We start from the raw sequence: 22,542 nt of genomic DNA, 5'->3' as shown, positions 1-22,542 counted from the left end.
ATCCTATATACGTATATGTGGCTGGAAAGGACAATTTTGGAGAATTGGGACATCTTGAGTATTTGCTGCGCACTAGGCATCATTATCGTGTCCGTGTTAACAATGAGTTATGTTTTAGCAATGCTGGAGATGTGTGTGTCTCTGTGTCTGTGTCTGCCCCACAGCCGTGGGGGTGAGGGAGGAAGCTGGAGTGCAGGGCACCCTGGTGCTGTTCTCGCAACTGTGTTCTGATTGCCTCTCTTGTGTGCGTGCTCCGTGAGCCCCTCTGCAAGTCCCCCGCTAGCATGGCCTGGGGATCCTCTGCCTGCTGTTCCCATGACCAGGATGATTCTTCTTTGCTTCTGGGTCTCACTCTGTTGCCCAGGCTGGAATGCAGTGGCATCATCTCAGCTCACTGCAGCTTCGACCACCTGGGCTCCAGCGATCCGCCCCCTCGGCCTCCCAAGTAGCTGGGATTACAGGTGCACGCCACCACGCCTGGCTAATTTTTGATTTTTATAGAGATGGGGTTTCGCCATGTTGCCCAGGCTGTTCTCAAACTCCTGTCCTCAAGTGATCCTTCTGCCTCTGCCTTCAAAGTGCTGGAATTACAGGCGTGAGCCACCTTGCTCGGCCTTCTCCTTCACTTTTTTTGGGAAGTAGGGAAATAAAAACGCACAGCACCATCTTTTTCCAGTTTGGGGAACTAGCTGGGTGATGAATGGAAGCATATCCGTGTTGTCCTGTGGAATTCCTCATGTGTGTACTTGACGGAGGCAGACAGCAGCAGAACCTGGAGCCCACACCCTGTCCTGGAGGTGTGGGGGATGCTGCGTCTGCATCTCTGGGGGGACCGGGCTCTTGCATTCAGCCTCGGCCTGCAGTGCCCATAGGGACCTGAGGAAGAGCAGTCTGGGCTCCCTAGCTTTGGCTGTATAAAACTCCTTGCACCTGGGTGGCCTAAAACACCAGCTATCTTATTTAGCCGATGCTTGTTGGATCAGGTGACAGCTTCCCTGGTCTCAGCTGGTGGCAGTCTCTCTGGTCAGCCGGTGGCTTGGAAGTTCTAGATGGTCTCCCTCCCTTGTTTGGTGCTGGGCTTGATGTCAGCTGGAGAGATGGGAATGACCGGGCTGGTGTCACCTTCCAGAGCCCCAGCACCTTCACGTGCAGGAGTCACAGGCTTCCTGCAAGCAAGGGGGAGCCAGCCCCGGGACGCAGTCAGAGGTGGTGCCCTAAGAAGCACAGCAGTGCCCAAAGCTTTGTGCAAAGCAGGTCCCTGCCTGGGGCCTCCCAGGCCCATGTGTGGCCTTGTCCCTGCTGCCCCCTGTCTGCCGCCCACCTCCGACTGGATGCTCCAACTGGAGCTCCAGGAATCATCCTGGTCATGGGAACAGCAGGCAGAGAGGATCGTGCCCCAGCAGGCCATGCTGGCAGAGGCACTTGCAGAGGGGCTCACGGAGCGAGAACAGAAGAGAGGAAATTAGAACATAGTTGTAAGAACAGTGCCAGGATGCCCTGCACTTCTGCTTCATGTGAGTGTATGAGGAAGAGAGGCCTCTCTCCTGTGCCTGCGCTTGGTGAGCCCCACTGCGAGTTACCTGCCACCATGGCCTGGTAGGGGGTGATCCCCTCTGCCCTGCTTCTCCAGCCTCTGTGGCACTGCAGGTCGCAAGGCCAGGCTCCTGTCAAGGGGTGGAGAAAGATGGTCTACTCCCCGATGGAGTCTCTGAGTTATATGGAAAGATGTAAAGGGGTGTGCACACAGCATGTGGGGTGGGGGGCTTGCAGCTGTTTTTGCCCCTTAGCACACACCCCACTCAGCCATCAGTGAAGCGTCTGCTGCATGCCGGTGAACCTCTGGGTTCCGGGCTGGGCAATGTTTGGGACAGGGGACATTCCAGTGTGGAGAGCATCTGTCCATGGCTCACAGGACTTGGCTCATGCACCTCCAGCTGCAGAGGGCCAGGCTGAGATCCCACGTCACAGGTGTTCCCCGTGTGGCCGGGACACCAAAGCAGGCCCGTGCCTGGGATGCTGGGACCCTGCTGATGGTCATCCAGATAGCCCTGCAGACCTTCCGCAGCCTCCCAGGGCCCAGGGGCCTCCGCCTGGCCTCCCCGTGTTCGTCAAGGTCTCATGCTCACCAGCCTTCCTGGCCTCTCTGCTGCCACTCAGGTGTGGGTGCATCCCTCCATTCAAAAGTCTCCTTGCACATTTAATCCCACTTGGTGTCTCCTCTGCAGAGGACCTGGAATAAGATGGCATGAAAACCAGAGTGAGAAGGGCTATGAGGGTGGGAGAGGGCTATGAGGTGGGCAGGAGAGGGGTGTGAGGCAGAAGGGAGAGGGGTGTGACGCGGGTGGGAGAGGGGTGGGAGGCGGGCGGGAGAGGGGTGTGAGGCGGATGGGAGAGGGGTGTGAGGCGGGCTGGAGAGGGGTGTGATGTGGGCTGGAGAGGGGTGTGATGTGGGCTGGAGAGGGGTGTGAGGCAGGCGGGAGAGGGGCGTGATGCAGGCGCGAGAGGGGTGTGATGTGGATGGGAGAGAGGTGTGAGGGGGGCGGGAGAGGGCTGTGAGGCGGGTGGGAGAGAGGTGTGATGCGGGTGGGAGAGGGGCTTTACGCAGGCGCGAGAGGGGTGTGATGCGGGCGCGAGTTGAGTGTGACATGGGCGGGAGAGGGGTGTGACACAGGTGGGAGAGGGGTGTGAGGCAGACGGGAGAGGGGTGTGACACGTGGGAGAGGGGTGTGAGGTGGGGGGAGGGGGTGTGACACGGGTGGGAGATTGGTGTGAGGTGGGGGCAGGGGGTGTGACACGTGGGAGAGGGGTGTGAGGCAGACGGGAGGGGGTGTGACACGGGTGGGAGAGGGGTGTGAGGTGGGGTGAGGGGGTGTGACACAGGTGGGAGAGGGGTGTGAGGCTGACAGGAGGGGGGTGTGACACGTGGGAGAGGGGTGTGAGGTGGATGGAAGGAGGTGTGACAAGTGGGAGAGGGGTGTGAGGCGGACAGGAGGGGGGTGTGACACGTGGGAGACGGGTGTGAGTTGGGGGAGGGGGCGTGACACGGGTGGGAGAGGGGTGTGGGGCGGACGGGAGGGGGTGTGACACGGGTGGGAGAGGGGTGTGAGGCGGGTGGGAGGGGGGTGTGACACATGGGAGAGGGGTGTGAGGTGGATGGGAGGGGCGTGTGACACGTGGGAGAGGGGTGACTAGTTTTGGGAAAGTGGCCAGGGAAGGCCTCTCTTGAGGAGGCTGTGTTTATTGAGACTCCTGTCCAAGTGATGGAACATGGGAACAGAAAACCAAATACTACATGTTCTCGCTTGTAAGTGGGAGCTAAACATTGAGTACAGATGGACACATGGACACCGGCCCGCTTGAGGGCGGAGGTGGGAGGAGCGTCAGCATAGAAAAACCACCTGTTGGCTGGGTGCAGTGGCTCACGTCTGTCATCTCAGCACTTTGGGAGGCCAAGGCAGGTGGAACACGAGGTCAGGAGTTCAAGACCAGCCTGGCCAAGATAGTGAAACCCCGTCTTTACTACAAATACACAAAAAAATTTAGCCAGGTTTGGTGAAGGGTGCCTGTAATCCCAGCTACTCGGGAGGCTGAGGCAGAGAATTGCTTGAACCAAGGGGGCAGAGGTTGCAGTGAGCCGAGATCGTGCCACTGCACTCCAGCCTGGGTGACAGAGCAAGACTCCATCTCAGAAAAAACAAACAAACAAACAAAAAAAAACCACCTGTCGGTACAATGCGCAGTGCCTGGGTGATGAAATAATCTGTACACCAAGCCTCCGTGACATGCAGTTTACCCGTGTAACAGACCTGCAGGTGTATACCTAGAATCTCAAATAGAAGTTGGAAGGAAAAAAAAAGAAACAACAAACAAAAACAATCTGAGACTCCCTGAAGGATGAGAACGGGCTGAGCGGGGCCACAGGAGCCCGCACCGGGTCCGCGGAAGGAATTCACACTGCTGCTTCAAGGTGTGGAAGGCGACCCGAGAGGCGGTACACAGACGGCGAGGGAGCGTGCTGTGAGAAGCTCAGGGAGGCAGGGCCTGGGAGGCCAGGTGAGGTGTGGGCACAGCCAGGGAGAAACACTGGTGACCCGAGACGCACGGGAACTCGCAGTCACTTTATCCATCTGCCTTGTCCGCCACATCTCAGGGGGCAAACAGAGCAGGTTTGTGTCAGCCGAGGAAACCCTTGATCTTCTAAGGGGACTGCTAGCCATCTCGCCCCCATCTTTGCCGCAGAAAAGACGGTATCCTTTTGCCGTGGAGGATAAACCAACGTCTGGGGAGAGGAGGGGCCGCAGGTTTATTTCCCAGAAATGTGTGCAAATCTGCAGACACAGCAGGGAGGTTTTGCTCTCCTGCATGTCTCCAGCGGGCTCTGGCTTGCAAGAATGTCTCATGCAGGCATTCTTCCAGTGCCCTGTGCTTTGAAAAATACGCAGAAAAGCCAGAATTATGGAGGGCAGCCTCCTGGGCTTGTGGATGTTGGGCAGGTGGAGGGAGACGTATGGAATCTTCTGGTCTCCAGGCAGCTGTGCAGTGCACCGGTCTGTGGGATCAGTCAAGGAAGTTCAGAGCAGGATGAAGGAACCGCTCCAGGGATTTCCAGCAGAGAGGGGTTTGTTGCAGGGAAGGAGATGGATCCTGGGACCCTGGAGCTCGCACCCCTGCTCTGTCTGCTGCAGTGCTCCGTGGGTACACAGCCCAGCCCAGGGTCGCCCCGGCCATGTGCCCCCAGCACCAGCCCCTGGGCCTTTTATATGTTTCTGGGATGCTGCCTGTCTTCCAGTGCCATCAGGAAAGGCTCGGGGAGCTGGGCCTCACTGGACGCCATACCCCTCCCGCTGGAACAGTGCGTAGGTGTTCCACCCTCCAGGGCAGCCTGACCGCAGGACGTATGCCCCTGCCCCACAGGTGCCCAGCACTTCATAGCTCACAGAGCCCTTCGACCTCTCTGGCCTGGGATGACCCACTCAACACCCCCAGGAGGAGACACTGGTGCTGTCTTCAGCAGGGAAACCTGGGCTTGGATAGGTGCAGCGGCTCCTCCAAGGTGGCCAAGTTGCCTGGCCCTCGCTCATGAATCCTGAGTAGCCCCTCCTGTCACTGCCACCCACTGCTCTCCCTGGAGGCCTGTGTGTCCTTTGTTCTCTCCTGAGGATGGCTGTGGCCTCCTCCTGTTCCTGACAGGGCCTGGTGCCCACTGGCTGATGTCAGACTTCAGGCCTGAGGGGAGGGGCGTTTGTGCTAACAGGAGGCAGAGGGCAGCCTGCCAGTCTGGCCCTGCGGCCACCTGAGCTGTCCCCTGGGACCCGTGGCTTCATGACTCTGACCCAGTGGATGCTGTCTTCATAGTCTGAGTGGGAGCCAGGTTTGACCTCGGAGTGCCTGGGGCATAGAGTCCCTGTCCTCTGGAGGAAGAGATGGTCATCCCTTTTCATGCTGACTGGCCCCAGGGCAGGACCTGATCTTTTGGACCCTAAAAGGGACAAGGCCTGGTGGCAGAGCAGAGCTGGGGCTCAGGAGAGGGAGATGGGTGGGAGGAAGGAAGGAAGAGGAAGAGAAGGAGGAAAGGGGGAGACGAGGAAGGGGGAGGAAGAGGAGGAGGAGGAGGAGAAGGAGGAGGAGGAGGAGATGACTCAGGCACCCACGGCATTACTGTGGCAGGCTGGCCCTCGGTTTCCCCATCAGTAAATGAAGAGATGGGGTCAAGGGGCCCAGGCCCCCTCCCAGATCTGAGACCTGCGCATCAGGCTGTCTGTATTCAGAGGAAGCCGGGGATGGCAGCTCCCAGCCGTGGGCTCGGCCTTCATTCACCGTACAGGCTCATCCATTCACCCAGTGAACCCTCCTGAGTCCCTTCATGAGGGCGGCCTCGCAGGGACTTTGATCTCGGCTCTGCCCTGTCCTGGCCTTGGGACCCTGGGTGAGCTGAGGCAACCCAGTTTCCTGGTCTGTGACTCCAGGCTCTGTCCTCGCCCCATCGCTCCCCATCGTGGCACAGGTTCGAGGATGTTGGCTTGCCTGGCCTCCTGAGGGCCTTCTGGGGTTAAAGTCTTCTATCCTGAGGCTGAGACCAGGGCTGGGAAGGAGGCTCAGCACCTGTGGACTTTCTCCTCCCTCTCCATGGCTGAGTCTTGATTTACAGCTGGAAGGGCAGACGGAGGCATCTTGGTGTATACACAGCCCTGCTGAGCCACATCCCGGGTCTCCTCCCTCTGCGATGCCATAGCAGGGGCGCCTTCTGAAAGCCCTCTGGATTGAGGCAGCAGGATCTATGGTGGAACCTGCCCCGGCGTCGCCAACGCCCCTAGGACCCCAGCACACTGACTGGGGCGCATCCCTGTGTCGTTTCTGCCCGGAGAGGAGCAGAGGCCAGGCTGCTGCTCTGGGAGGTGAGTGTCATGCCTGGGAACACAGCAGGGACCCCAGGGAGGGAGAGCAGGTGTTTGCTCCCTGGGCTCTGCCTGGTGGTCCTGACAGCAGTCCTGACTGTTGCGAAGGCTGTTTTTTGGTGGCTTCCTTAGGGTCCTCGCTGTGCTCCTGGTCCCAGCACCATCTGCTCTCCTTCCTGGTTATTCAAATGACCTGGCTCCTGTTGCTGTGTCCTGGGTCCTCGCCTCCCCTGAGATGGACTCTGTTCAGGCTAGACTGCCTCAAGGGACCCGCTTCAGTCTACTTGTGACAGAAAAGGTTAGCTGGCTCCTGGGAAATGTCAGGGGATAAGTCAAAGCTGGCCAGCGGCAAGGCCCAGTGACGCCCTGTCATTTTATGACTCCCTTTTCTTAATCAGTTGAGGAGAAAAACAAGCAATGAAGGATTTTCCATGGCAACCACCAGCAGGGCAGTGTTCTCTCCCTACCTGAGCTTTTTTTTAAGAGGAGGGGTCTGGCCAGAGGCTGCTGACCCTGGCCCCAGAGGGCAGGGGTCGAGTGTCCTGGAGTGTGACTCCCAGGCACCCGGGCTTGGGCTGGGCCCCTGGAGCAGGTGCAGCTAATCTGGCCAATCTACTCCTTCACACTCATGGAGCAAATGGGGAAACAACCCAGAGAGGGGCAGCCCAGGAAGCAAATTTGTAGAGCCTGACCCTCTGAGAGAGCTGTCAGAAGGATACTAGTCTTCTAAACCAGAAACTTATTCATATAATAATAATAATGTTTATAATAATAACATTATTAATTCCTTCACCATCCACCCACTTACCCTCTTACCCATCTGTCCATTCAACTCATCCACCCCCACATCCAGCCAGCTTCCATCCTATCATACATTCATCCACCTACCCGTCCACCCCTTCTTCCTTCCTTTCTTTCGTCACCCACCCATCCTCTCACTCATTCATTCATCCATCCACCCATCCATCCATCTACCCATTCATCCACCCATTCATTTATTTACTCACTCTCCCATCCACCCATCCATTCATCCTTTCTTTCTTTCATCATCCATCTATCCACCCATCCATCCATTCATCCACATATTCGTCCACCCATTCATTATTCACTTATCTATCCATCCTTCCACCCATCCATCCATTCATCCACCTATTCTATTCGTCCACCTATCCATTCATGCTTTCTTTCTTTCATCATCCATCCATCCATCCATCCATCCACCTATTCCATTCACCCACCTATCCATTCATTCACTCACTCATCCATCCATCCACCCATCCGTCCTCCCTTTCTTTCATCACCCACCCATCCATTCACTCACCCATCATCCATCCACCCAGCCAGCCAGTTTCCATGTCTACATCCAACTACTCACTCATCCATTTACCCACCAACCTAACTAAACTTGTTTCCTCCCATGTAACACAATACTTATCCACCCATCCATCCGTCAACCTACCCAACCACCCCATAACGCGCCCACATCCTTCCCTTTACCCATCTGTACACATACTTATCTACCTCTCCTATACCCATATACCCATGACATCCACCCACCCATTCATGCATGATCCTCCTACACATTCACTCACTTACCCATTGACTGCTTCACCTACTTATCCACTACTCCCCATTCAGCCATACACTCATAAAACTTCTATCCATCCATTCTATCCACCTACTCAAACAACCACCTATCAACCCATCTACCCATCAGACTGTGGTCCACTCACCTATCCATCCACCCATCTACCCATCTACCCACCGACCCATCATCCATTGTCTATCCACCCATCTATCCATCTGTCCATCCAAACACCACACATCACTGGTATGACTTTAGAAGCTTTGTCCACAGATTCCAACTCAGCTTTGAGATTTGGATCATCCAAATTTGCTTCCTGGGCTGCCCCTCTGGTCTGTTTCCCCATCTGCTCCACGAGTGTGAAGGAGTAGATCAGCCAGATTAGCTGCGCCTGCTTCAGGACTCCAGCCAAGTTTGGGTGTCTGGGAGCCACACTCCAGGTCTCACCAGGAAGACTATGCCAATCATGGAGAAGTCTGATAAATGCAAAACCCACTTGAACCCCCTGGGTGGGGTTTATAGATGTGCATGAAAGGAATAGGATCAAGTTCTATATGGGGTCGAGGGCTCAAAACCAAACTCTAAGATCTGGAGTCCCTGTAACAAAACATAAATAGGTTTCTGCAACTCCCGTCTGTGTGGTAGATGAAAATACCATCAGTACGCTGACTGATAATGCTAGTATTTTCTAACCTCCAATTACCTAGATAATGCTGCTCAAATCTCTTAGTTGTTTCCTCAGTGAAAAAAGAAATGTTTAAACCCAAGGGAATATTTAGAATTAGGTACAGAAATGTTTTATGGTATCAACTTCCAGTATTCATAGTTTTGAGTGAAGGAATCTGGGCATGTTTGGTATTATAAGCATTTGTGATGTTTAAGAAATTTGGGGTTATTAGAAGGACAGTTCGGCCTTTTAATTAAAATTTGAAATATATACTTAATTACTTGATTTAGACTTATGACTATCAGTTGAAATCATAAAGTTTATATAAAATGTTGGAAAATTTAAGAGAATCTAAGTTTCATCATATTAGGAAGTTATGTTTTTAAATTTAAAAGAACTACTTAATTTGGGAAGATTTGTCAGGCAAGATCTAATGTATTAAGTTTGTTAATGTAATTAAGTTTTTGAAGGTGTTTTATTAAGTAGTAGGAACTACTGCTAATGAAATAACTTTTAGAAAGAATTTTGAGATTTCTTAAACTTATAATGATAAGATTTGTAGATTTGGCTCATAGTTTAAGGGAGAAAAACATACTTTTCTGATTTTGTATCATCAGTACATACAAATTTTAATTTTTTAAAACCCAAAGCAATTTCTGAATAATCTATCATATGTGCAAAAAAAGCCTTTGAGGACATAAAATAAATATCACATTAGCACCATGCCGACTTATTCTCCCATCCATCCATCCAACCACTCACTTATTTACCCTTTACTCTCCCTTCTCTCTATCCTCCAATCCACCTGTCCTTTAACACTCCCACCTACCCACCCATTTATTCATCCATCCATCCATCCATCACCCACCCACCTTTCCATTCATCATTCATCCACCCATTTCCATCCTCCAATCATCCATCCATCCATCCATCCATTTCCATCCTCCATCCATCCATCCATCTGTCTGTCCGTCCATCCATCCATCCATCCTTCCATCCATCCATCACCCACCCACCTATCCATTCATCATTCATCCACCCATATCCATCCTCCAATCATCCATCCATCCATCCATCCATCCATCCATCCATCCATCCATCCATTTCCATCCTCCATCCATCCATCCATCTGTTGGTCCGTCCATCCATCCATCCATCCTTCCATCCATCCATCATCCATCCATCCTTCCATCCATCCATCATCCATCCATCCATCCATTTATCTACTTGTCCATTCACCCATTCACCTATCTACCTAGGAAATATTTATTAAAGGACCTAGTAGGCAGCAGACACTAGAAAAAAAGTACCTACACCTAAAGGGGAGCTGCTTCTGGACCCACAGACTTTTCTGACTTCTCAGTGTTGGGAGAGACTAGCCCTGTCCCTCTGCTCTGTCATTTTTCCTTGACTTTGCCATCTCGCCCCCTACAGTGATCTGACGATCATGAGCACAGTGGTTAGCATGTGGGCTATGGTACCAATGGCCTGGGTTGAAATCCCACCCCTACTATTTGCTCGCTGGATGACATTGGTCCACGGAGACAAAGGAGCACTGACCTCATAGGCTCCTGGTGAGGGCCACGGGTCAGTGCGTGTGGTTGTGTGTGGGAGCAGAGCCTGGACTGTGGCCTGCCCCTGCCAACACTGCCCATGCTGAGCTACAGCCAGGCATCCTGCTAGATGCTGGCTCATCCCGACATGTGTGTGCATTGAGGGGGGGTAGCCTTTGGGGGTTCTGGACACAGACCAAAGTCCTACTGCGGCTGTGAAGAGAGCTAAGTGGGGCTGAATGTGTTGCTCTGAGAAATGAAGAGAAGGGGGTGGCTTTCCATTTTGAACAGCCTCTGCCCCACCAAAGGGAATCCAGTCTCTCTGAGGGCTTTCCTCTAAGCTCTCCCTGCACTGCCCTTAGGGCCTGACAGAGCCAGGTATGGGCTGCAGGGACTGACCAGGAATAATGAGCTGGCCTTGGAAGGCACAGTAGACAGCCCATTCCCATAGCTCCTCCCAGGGAGCACAGGGTGCAGAGAGGCCTGGGGAGAGGCTGTTTGTGTCCCCAACGTGGGTCCCTCAGGTACCTGGCTCCAGCCCTGGCTCCAGATGGGGCTCGAGAATCAGCCATCTTCCCTGCGTTCTGCGGAGCTGCCCTGGTCCTGCGGCCCCATGGCCCCTGTGGTCATGTTGAATGCTCTCAGCTCCAGGTTCACCTGAGACCCTCTGCCTGCCTGTCCTGAAGGCTGCTACCCTGTGGCGTGGGGAGCTCCTACTGTCCCCATCCACCGCCATCTGCCAGGCCCATGGTCCCTCTGGTGCCAGGAGCCTGCTGGTCACTCTGCCTGTCCTCTGGGCAGCCTGGTGGGGATGGTCCCCGGGATCCTCAGAGCCTGCCCCTGCCCCACCCAGCTGCCTCCTCCAGGCTCTCACAGCGGGCAGGGCTGGTCCTGCATTATGTTCTAGAACAAGGCTGGGCACAGGCAGGGGGCAGGGGGCAGGGTGCAGGCACCAGGCAAAGCCTGTTTCCTGCCGTGGAGCTTGGGTAGGTGCAGAGCCAGCGAGTCTGAGATTCTTCTGTAAAGGGAGGGGACCAATATGTCCTCAAAGGGGGCTGGGGGGGGCGGAGCTGGAGTCTGAGTCAGTGGGGACAGGGGCACACTGAAGGGTGGTCAAAGCAGACTTTCTCCCATTTCTGTGACCGGGGCTGTGCCATGCCTTGGAGGAGAAGAGGTGCCTGCCTGGGCTCTTTCCTGGGCTCCTGTAAGAGGAGGTGCGATGGGGGGACTGGTCAGAGATTGTGGAGTCCTTCCGGAGCAGGGAGGTGTCTACCAGGCACAGCTGCAGGGCCTCTGTGGCCGTCACAGGTGCAGCCCCATGCATGACTCAGTCAAATTAGATGCCTTCAGGGAGGGCCCTGGCCTCCGTGCTTCTGGTCTCCTGGCAGTCTGGTCCCAGGACTGGGCTCACCCCTGGTCCCTCTGCACTTCTGCACCTGCACTCTCTCTGCACAGGGCAAGACAGCCCCTCCCAGACCACTGGGCCAAGCAGGGCATCCTTGTAAACAATATGATTTTATTGTCATGAAGTGAATGGCACACATGAATGGTAATGTGAGCCCCTGGAGCGACACGCTACTGCCACAACCCCAGAAGCTTCCTGGGTTCCTTCCTTCTCCCCTTGGGGACCACTCACCTGACTTTTGGGGTAATCATTTTCTGCCTTTTAGTCACAATTTTCCCACCTACGTAGGCACCCCTAAACAGATGTTTAGTTTTTGTCTGTTTTCGAATGCTACCTGGTGGGATCACATCCTGGGAATGCTTCCATGACTCGCTTCTATTGCTCAGATGACTCTTCTTTGCAGATGTGTGTAGCTGTTGCTGTTCATTTTCCTGGCTGTGTAGTATTCCATGGTATGCCTGCACCACTAAAGAAATGCTGTTGTGACCACTGTAAACATTGGAACCATCTTTTCCAAGCAGGTATTTACTGAAAATAGCCAGAGCTACTTTGTCAGCAGTTTGGACAGCTTCAACTTTACTAGATACTGCTGAATGATTTTCTAAAGTGCATACCCAGCAGCAACCTATAAAAGGTACTGTTGCTCCACATCCTTGTCAACACTTGGTTTTGCCTGAATTTAACATTTTTAAACTTCTTTTCCTTATTAGAAATGGGGTCTTGCTATGTCACCCAGGTTGGCCTCGAACTCCTGGGCTCAAGCAATTCTCCCAGCTTCCTGAGATTTTACCATTTTGACGGTCTAGTGAATGTGAAGTAGCACTAGCTGTGGTTTTAGTTTGCTGTGGTTTTAATTTGCATTTCCTTGGGAGGGAATGAGGTTCTACATCTTTGCTTATGTGTATTTGCCAACTGGATTTTCTTTTATGTGAAGCACCTGTTCAAGTCTTTGGTCCATTACATATTTTTTTGTTTTTTGGTGACTAGTTATGAGAGTTCTTTATATATTTCCTAAGTGACTCTTTGCCAATTATCCATCCTGCAGACATCTTCCAGTGTGTCTTATCTTTCCATTTCAATGTGGTGTCTGATGAACAGAAGTAGTACATTTTAATGAAGTCCAATTAATTCCTCTTTTGCTTTATGGCTTGTGTCCTTTGTGTCTTGCTTAAGGAATGTCTCTTTACTCTGAAGTCAGATTTTCTCCTTTATGCCTTTCCAAAGGATCTGTGGGTTCATCTTTCATATTTAATCCACCTAGTATTGATTTTTGATTTATAATTAATTTTTCTCAGCATTGACCTTTGTGGACAGTATAGAGCAGGAGTGTAAGTAATATTTTTCCCTCTATGGATAATCAGTTCTCCAAACTGATTTTAAATAGGACTGTCTTGTCCCCATCGATCTGCCTCTCTCCTCCAGCAGCCAGGCCTGCTCTGTTTCCGTCTGTTATGCGTTACCTGTGTGCCGACCTAATTGTCTGCTTTGCTAAGGCTTTAAAGGAAATCTTAGGGAACAGAAAGACCAACCTGCCCGCTTTTTATTCTTCATTAAGAATATTTTGGCTATCCCTGGCTCTTTTTAAAAAGTTAAAAAAGATCTTTATTGGGCACCAGAATCAGAATAGGTTCACAGTGGTGCCTGCTCCAATTCCATGTAAATTTTAGAATCATCTTGTTAAAGTCTACAAACACACACACACATACACACCCATGTGCACACACACGCACATACATGCACCCATGCACACACACATGCACATACATATGCACATGCACGCACACTCACACACATGCACACACCACTTAGGATTGTGATTGGCATTGTAGTGGCTCTACAAATCATTTCGGGGAAAAATTGGTATCTCTGTAATATTATTGAGTTTTCCAATCCATATACATGTTTATTTTTTGAAAACAAGTATGTTTTATTTCTCCATTTATTTAGATCTTCATTCATGACACGCAGTAAAATTTCTTATTTTTTCTCTGTGTATCTTGCACCTATTTTGTTAGGTTTATTCCTAGATACTTCTTGCCAGCTGTACTACTGTAATGGTCTCTGTGATGGTTAATTGTATGCCAACTTGGCTGGGCCACAGTGCCCAAGTGCTTGGTCAGGATGTTGCTGTGAGGCTGCTTTTCGGATAAGATACACACTGAAATCAGCTGACCTTCAGTTAGGCAGACGGTGCGCCATAATGTGGGTGGGCCTCGTCCAATCAGGTGAAGACCTGACTAGAACACAGACCGACCTCCCCAAGGGAAGAGGGAATTCTGCCAGCAAGTGGCCTTTGGACTCAAACTCCAACTGCTCCCTGAGTCTCCAGACTGTCGGCCTGCCCTGCAGACTTTGGACCTGCTACACCTCCACAATTATGTGGGCCAATTCCTTAAAAAAATCAGTGTCTCACGCCTGCAATCCCAGCACTTTGGGAGGCCAAGGCAGGTGGATCACGAGGTCAGGAGTTTGAGACCAGCCTGGCCAACATGGTGAAACCCCGTCTCTATTAAAGATACAAAAATTAGCTGGGTGTGGTGGCAGGTGCCTGTAATCCCAGCTACTTGGGAGGATGAGGCAGGATAATCGCTTGAAACTGGGAGGCAGAGGTTGCAGTGAGCCGAGATCATACCGCTGCACTCCAGCCTGGGTGAAAGAGTGAAACTCTGTCTCAAAAAAAAAAAATCAATAATCTCTCTGTGTACACAAACACATGTGCACACACACATATGCACGATGCGTACACACACAGGCACATGCATGCATGCACGTACACACACATCTTGTTGGTTCTGTTTCTCTGGAGAATCCTAACTAATACAGTATCTTTTTTTGTTTTTGTTTTTTTGAGACAGGGTCTCACTGTGTCACCCAGGCTGGAGTGCAGTGGCATGATCTTGGCTCACTGCCAAGCTCCGCCTCCTGGGTTCAAGCAATTCTTGTGCCTCAGCTTCTGAGTAGCTAGGACTACAGGCGTGTGCCACCATGTCTGGTTAATTTTGTATTTTTAGTAGAGATGGGGTTTCACTTTGTTGGCCAGGCTGGTCTTGAACCTTTGACCTCAAGTGATTTGCCTGCCTTGGCCTTCCAAAGTTCTGGGATTACAGGTATGAGCCACCATGCCCAGCCCTAATACAGCATCATTTAAAAAGTTATAGTTTCTATTTTTTTTGTTGCTCATATATGGCAATACAACAGATGTTTGCATTTTGGTTTGTATCTAGCAAACCTGCCAAACTCATTAACCCAAGTGCTTTATTTGCAGCTCCTTCTGAATTGTTCTTGACAGAATCAGACAGACCTGTGGTCAGTCACCCTCTTTTCAGACTTTACTCTGTATTTTCCTCTCTCTCCTTCCGGGTGTCAACATGGATGCGTGCCAGACCCTTTCTGCCGGCTTCCCCTCCTCCCATTTTCTCCTCCGTGCTTTCTGTCTGACTTCCTGTGCTGCATGGAGAACGGCTTCCGCTTCCCCCAGGCTCATCCATCCTCTCCTCTGCTGTGTCTGCTCTACAGTCAAATGCATTCATTGCCTTTGAATTTCAGTTATGTATTTTCATTCTAGGAGAGCTTCTCAGGGTGGGCATAGTTATTTTTCGAATCTTTTTGGTCCTTTAATTTCTCGTCCTCTGTGTGTGATAAGGCCATTATCTGATTATCTGAATTCCTTTTTTCTTGAGTCTGAGTCTCGCTCTGTCACCCAGGCTGGAGTGCAATGGGGCGATCTTGGCTCACTGCAACCTCTGCCTCCCGGGTTCAAGCAATTCTCCTGCCCCACCCTCCCAAGTAGCTGGGACTACAGGTGCATGCCACCATGCATGGCTGATTTTTGTATTTTTAGTAGAGACTGGGTTTCACCATATTGGTCAGGCTTGTCTCGAATTCCTGATCTCAGGTGATCTGCCAGCCTCAGCCTCCCAAAGTGCTGGGGGTCCTGTGGTACAGAAGGGATCTGTGTTTACTTCTGCCGTTTTCCTGAAGGCCCTGTCAGTCCCTACTGAACTCTAACCCAAGCTCTTGGAATAAAGCTTCTTTGTCAGTTTATCAATACTTTAAAGAAATGTTCACAAATTACCCAGGATTTATTTTATTTGATTTTGTTGTGTGGGAGGCATGAGTAAAGGTCATGGCCTGCCATAGTGTAGGAAAATGGAAGCCGTGGGCCTTGTTTAAAACAAGCTAAGAGGCGTCGAATGTAAGGAGTTTCCCGTTCCTTAGGTTGTGGGTGAACCTGTGCTCAGAACAGCCCAGATGGCTCTGCCAGGGTGGGAGCCACAGATGAGAGTCCCAGATGAGACTTCCGGCTTTCCTGCTGTGGTGTGTGCCCAGGTGCTTCTGATAGGACACTGCCAACAGCAACAACAAGGAATGCAGCTGCAGCAGCGGGGGCCCTGGGCAGGCGGCCTGCCCTCACTTAGGCCACCATGTGCCTGTCTAAGTGCGTAGGAGCCTGGAGCTGCCATCACTGCTGCTTTATAACTGTGGGCACCGAGGCTAAACAGTTTGCCCCTGGTCCCGGGCTGGGATTTGGCTGGGCTTGGCCGGCTCAGCCCCTGCAGGGTTCTCACCTCTGCACCTACCTGAACCTTCCTCTCATTCTCAGCTTCTGGTGAAAATGGAGCTTCTTCCCCAAGGCCCCGGGCCTGGCAGTCCTTCCCTGAACACCCCAGCATGGAAACAAGAGGCAGAAAGGTCTCAGCAGTGGGCAGTAAAGATGTCACATCCACCTGGCCAGGCCACTGTGGTCTTTGGAGATGGCCGTGGACTCGCTCTCATGGAGCTGGGAGCTGCTGGGTGGGCCCCACCTCATGGCTGCATGTAGCAGAAGCAGGCAGAAAATTTGAGATGTGGCAGAGGGTTGAATCCAAGGAAGTTCCTCAGAAAGTGCAGGGCCCCTCGGAAACAAGGGGCCCTCAGAAACAAGGGGCCCTTGGGTCCTCCCGGCTGGGCAGAAAGCCTGTCCCAGCCCCCCATGCTCTTGGAGCAGGCAACTTCTGAGGCTTCCATACTCCACTCCCAGGCCTGGCACTCCTGTCCTCCCTGGAGGGCATAGTGTCAGGAGGGTGCCCAGGCATCACTGGCTGCCTGCCTGCCTCCTCACAAGAGGAGGAGGCCTGGGCCCAAGGTGGCCATGACCAGCCAGCCCTGGACTCCTATGTGCAGCACTTGCTCCGCCACCCTTCCCTGTCACAGGGGCAAAGAGGCACAGGCCAGGCTAGAAGCGTGGAGTGTGAGGGGGTCATGGCTTTAGAGCTGAGAGACACTGGGGTGGTGGATTAATGTCGGCAGGGCTGGAAACAGAATCAGAAAGCAGGCCCAGGAGTCACCTCATGTGGAACATGTAGATTTCCAGGTGCACCTGCACTCCCAGATGAGAGACTTCCTGGTGCACCTGCACTCCCAGGTGAGACTTCCTGGAGCACCTGCACTTCCAGATGAGACTTCCTGGTACACCTACACTTCCAAATAAGACTTCCTGGTGCACATGTACTCCCAGGTGAGACTTCCAGGTGCACCTGCACTCCCAGATGCAGACTTCCTGGTGCACCTGTACTTCCAGATGAGACTTTCTGGTGCACCTACACTTCCACATGAGACTTCCGGGTGCACCTGCACTCCCAGATGCAGACTTCCTGGTGCACCTGCAATTCCTGGTGCAGACTTCTTGGTTCATCTGCACTTCCTGGTGAGAATCCCTTGGGCATCTGCACTTCCTGATGCACCTGCACTTCTAGGTAAGATGTTCTGCTGCATCTGCATTTACGGGTGAACTTCCTGATGCACCCATACTTCCTGGTGAGAACCCCTTGAGCACCTGCACTTCTAGGTGGAACTTCCTGGTGCACCTGCGCCTCCAGGCACAGACTCTCAGGTGAATTTCCAGGGAGAAGAGACCTAGGCTGCATTCCACAGGTGTCTGGCTTTTTTTGACCTTTGACCTTGAGTGTTGTCTTGGGAGGTAGGCTTTTCCAGGGTCAGTGAGGATTGAATAGGGTGGATAGACATGGTGGTAGCAGGTGCAGAGGAGGGACATGCAGACATTTGACATGGAGGGGGAGGACAAAGCCACCTGACCAAAGGTATCCCAGTCTCAACACAGCCAGGAAGCCTAGAATATGTGGAGGTGAACATATCCCCAGCAGCACTGTGGAGGGTCTCCTCTCCCCAACTCCAACTGCCCCACTGCCCCTGTTTGGAGGTGAGCACCTGGCTGAAGCTGCCCCCTCTCCTGGCCTGGCTCCGGCTCCTAAGCTGTCCTGTGGTTCTGCCTTCCCACTGGACTTGTCCCCAGGGAGGAGAGCCCTGGCTCAGTGACAGGAAGGTCTGGCTGCCAGATGGCCCATCCCTCAGGTCACCTAATACAAGGTGTCTGTCTGGCTGGCACCTGGGTCTCTGGGGTGTGTGTTAGTGCAGTTCAGTGAACCTCTCTCCTTGAGGCAGATCCAGGGTGATTTGTGGTGGGGTTTCTCAGTGAGCCAGGCTAGGAGACCCTCCCTGGGGAGGGCACCAAGCAGTGCCACCTGGGGTTGGGGCATCAGCCAAGCCTCAGCCCCTAAGTCCATGGCGTGACAGCTAGAGACATCCCCCATGTGTGAATGTGTTGTTTTGTTTTCTTAGTTATTTTAGAGAAAACGTTCCCGGAACATGCCACATGCAGAGGATGCTGGTTATCAGGCTACCTTTGCTAGACAGCTCCAGGTAACTGCATTTGCTCTGCCAATGTTGGCTTTTTAAAAATAGAAAACACATATAGACAAATCCATCACACACACACGCACAGACACACACACACACACAGACAAATCCATCACACACACATGCACAGACACATACACACAGAGTCAACGACATAGGCTCACAAGTCGAGCTCTTCGTCTGTTTATACTTAATGCAATTACTGATACATCTAAGTTTGGAGCTGCTGTTTTCTTTTACGTATACTGTTTGTTTGCAGATTCTGTGTATAACTTCTTTCCTTTCTTGCCGCCTTTTAGATGATTTTCCCCAGCTTACCTTGAGGATTTTCGAGCAAACAGACACGTTGAAAGAATAGACAAGGACCACTTGCATGCCCCTCAGTTAGATTCACCAACTGTCAATATTTTGCACTGTATGTATACACGTACATGTCTGTGTATACACATATACACATACAGTCACACATCGCCCGATGGCAGGGATGGTTCTGAGGAAGGCGCTGTTAGGCGATTTCGTTGCCGTGCGGGCATCATAGTGTGAACTTACTCAAACCCAGATGGCACAGACTCATCGCCTCCCACACGCCTGGGCTGTATGGCAGGACCTCCTGCTCCCGGGCTACAAACCCAGGCAGGGTGGTACTGTACTGAACGGTGCAGGTGATTGTAACACAATGGTAAGTATCTGTGCATGTAAACATACCTAAACATAGAAACAGTGTAGTAAAAATACAGTATAAAAGATAAAATACAGTACACCTGTACAAGGTCTGCTCTGTTCTAATCTTATGGGGCCACCATTGTATATGCCATCTGTTCTTGACGGAAGTGCTGTTATGTGGCACATGACTGTACATGGAAATACACACACACACACACACACACATCCACACATAAGCATATGCATACACACACATATACATGTATATACACGTGCATATAACATATGTAGATATCTGCCAATTGCTATCCAATGTGAATTCCATAAATTTACACTCCTACCAGCAGCATTTGGGTATCTGAGGTGTCACACATCCTTGCCAGCACTGGATATTATTCCGGCTTGGAGATTTTGCCAGCCTGGTGGGTGTGAAGTGGATCTTGTTGTGGTTTTAATTTCCATTTCTCTAATTATGCAGAGGCTGAGTGCCAGGCTTCCTCTCCTGGGAAGAGCCTGCCGGCTTGCGGGCTGTCAGCACTCACTGTGGGTGCGGGTGGCGTGCTTGCCTGCACGGCCCTTGCCTCTCTTAGTCTACAGGGTCTCCACTCCTGAGTTCCCGGAAACAAGATACAGATTTCAGAATTGCACCTGAACATTGTTTACTGATTTACGGCTGGAAGTGAGGGCCTGAGGGATTCTTCTATGGAATTGTATGACTCAGCATCTTTTTGATTGCAAGCAGCAGTATGGCAGCCTAAGCGAATCTATTGGCTTCTTCAACAGACCAATCTGGTGGATGTGGTGGCTTCCGGTGAGGGATGCTCCAGGGGCTCTCCATGATGTCCCCAAGGTCCTTTAACCTCTGGGCACTGCTTCTGCAGGATTGGCTTTGCTTAGGGTTGGTTCCCCTTCATTCTTGAGCTGGTTGTGGGCAACTCCTGCCCCCTGTGGGGGGACTGGACTGCCTTAGATCACATATGTGTCCCTGATTCTCTGTGGTCAGGGGATAGAATATTCAGATTGGAGTGGAGCCAGCTTCTCCTAAACCACGTGGATCTCCAAACGGAAGTCAGAGCAGATGGGAAGGGGGAGCAGACGTTGAGCTCAATCAATAAACATCCACCTTGGGAGTTGCAGCCTGGAGGGCTTGGTGACTGCCACGCTGGCTGCTCAGAGCTCCTCGCTTACTTTTGGGCATATGCCTGTGAACCAGATGGTGGCACCTCCTGAAAATCGGGTCTGTGGATAATGGGAGGATTTTTTAAATTACGAAAATGTTCATTATGGAAGAATAAATGAAGAATAGCATATGAAAACCTGTATCTCTCCCACTTAGGTTCAACAATTATTAGCATATTGCCATGTATGTTTCTCTCTTTCCTTCCTCTAAAGTTTTGCTGAGCATTTCACAATGAGTTCGAGGCACTGTGACACTTTGCTCCCAATCCTTTCACTTGCATGTGTTAAAAACAAGGACATTTTCTACAGAACCACAATACCTTGATCACATGTAAGGAAATTAGGAATCAGTTCTCAAATACTATCTAATATCCTGTCCAGGTTAAAAGTGCCCAGTGCTCCCTACATCTCTTATAGCTGTGACTTTGAACCAAGACTTAACCAAGTTTCACGCACTGCCTCACCTGTCTCTAAAACTAGAAAAGTTCCTGTTCCTTCCAGATTGAAAGTTTTAGGTTAAAAATATAGTTTCTCGACATTATTTTCTTGACTTTTCCTCTTGAAGGGCTATGTCTTGAAGAGCGCCCACAGCTTGAGTTCTTCTGTTTCTTCATGACAGGTTCAGCTTGTTCCTCTGTCCCCCTGTCTTTTCTGTATATTGAAATTTAGGTATAAATCCTTCATAAGGATTCACTTTATGCTCCATAAGTGAAGCTATGTTTTTTTGTACTCCTACGCTTTATGCTGCTGTGCTTCAGGACCATGTGACAGGTTATTACATTTGCTTTTTTGTCTCATTTCCCATCTTTTCCTCCATCTTCTGATCATAATTGAGCATTTTATTATCCCATTATATTTCCTCTATTGACTTATTGATGCCTCTTTAAAAAACTTTTTAGAGGTATTCTTCTGGTTCACTATATATATACATACAATTTTTTTTTTGAGATGGAGTCTCGCTCTGTCACGCAGCCTGGAGTGCAGTGGCGCGATCTCAGTTCACTGCAAGCTCCACCTCCCAGGTTCATGCCATTCTCCTGCCTCAGCCTCCCAAGTAGCTGGGACTACAGATGCCCCCCACCATTCCTGGCTAATTTTTTGTGTTTTTAGTAGAGACCAGGTTTCACCATGTTTCCCAAGATGGTCTCGATCTCCTGACCTTGTGATCCACCTGCCTCGGCCTCCCAAAGTGCTGGGATTACAGGCGTGAGTCACCGTGCCCAGCCCACAATTTATATTTTTAAACAATCTGAGCACACCTTAAAATAATATTGTACTTCTTCAAGTGCAGTGTAAGGACCAGTATACATGGAATTCCTCCCTCCTCCTCCTGTGTCGTTTTTATTACACACTTTGCTTTGACATATGTCACAAACATACAATAAATTATTATAATCTTCCCTTTAAACAATGATGTTTTAGATAAATTAAATTTAAAAATGATTTTCTTTTGTCTTCAGTCAATTTCCAGTATCTTCATTTCTTTTTCTAGATTCAAGTTTCTGTCTATATAATATTCCTTCCACTTGAAGAACTTTAATATTTTTTGTGTAGAGTGGGTTTTCTGGTAATGAATTCTTTCAGGTTTTTTTTTTTTGGAAGTCTTCATTTTTCATTCAGTTCTTTAAAAAAAAGAAATCTCTCCTTTGTCTTTTTGCTTGCATGGTTTCTGATGAGAAGTCTGTGGAAATTCTTATCTATGTTTCTCTGTAGATAATGTATCTTTTTCCCCATCCGGTTTCAAGAAGATTGTCTTTGTCCTTCATTTGTGGTGGTTTGAAGATGTATCCAGGTGTGGATTTTCCTGGTGTTTACCCTTCTTGATGTTCTCTGGGCTTCCTGAATCTGTGATCTGGTGTCCGTCACTCATATTGGAGAATTTTTAGCCGTTAGGTCTTCAAATACTTCTTTCAGCCTCTTCTCTGTGTCTTCTCCTTCTGGAACTGCACTACATGTATGTTAGGCCATCCAATGTTGTTCCAGGCTCTTCCCACGTGTGCCTGCCCTCTTCCGGGGTGGTGCCATGGTTAGCATGTGTGTCTGACCCTCTCCTAAGGTAGAGTTTTTTCTTTTTTCTGTTTTCCTCTCCCAGCTTCCATGGACTCCTACCAGTGACAGAGGCTCGGATTTTTGTGTTGTTGTTGTTTTTCTTTGCAGACTTTGTTCCATTGGGCAGAGAGTGGGGATGGGTCTGGGCAGAGTTTTGGAGGTAAATGTGTTTCCTTCCACCAGTACCCCAGGTAAAGCTTCCCTAGGATTTTCCTTGTGTCTTCCCTGGGAGCGGTTGGTGGGATCCTTGGAAGAAAAGCTTCAAGAGGGTGAGAACCTCCCATATGTCTGTGGCACCAGGGGTGTCACACTCCCATGCTTATCCATGCTTGGCCTTTAGTAAATTCTTA

At 50.8% G+C, this 22,542-nt stretch overlaps 1 long non-coding RNA gene across 1 annotated transcript; it reads left to right on the top strand.

Moving 5' to 3' along the window:
- The first annotated feature begins 6,315 nt into the window (after positions 1 to 6,315).
- On the top strand, positions 6,316 to 15,903 carry LOC105379446 (uncharacterized). Its single transcript, XR_950679.2, has 3 exons — positions 6,316 to 6,395; positions 12,009 to 12,126; positions 15,824 to 15,903. It is a non-coding gene; the product is annotated as an uncharacterized LOC105379446 (long non-coding RNA).
- The last annotated feature ends 6,639 nt before the right edge of the window (positions 15,904 to 22,542 follow it).

Source organism: Homo sapiens, chromosome 9 (assembly GCF_000001405.40).
Source record: "Homo sapiens chromosome 9, GRCh38.p14 Primary Assembly".
NCBI lineage: Eukaryota > Metazoa > Chordata > Mammalia > Primates > Hominidae > Homo > Homo sapiens.
The sequence above is the reverse complement of the archived record's forward strand: the minus strand, read 5'-3'. Positions and strand labels throughout refer to the sequence as shown.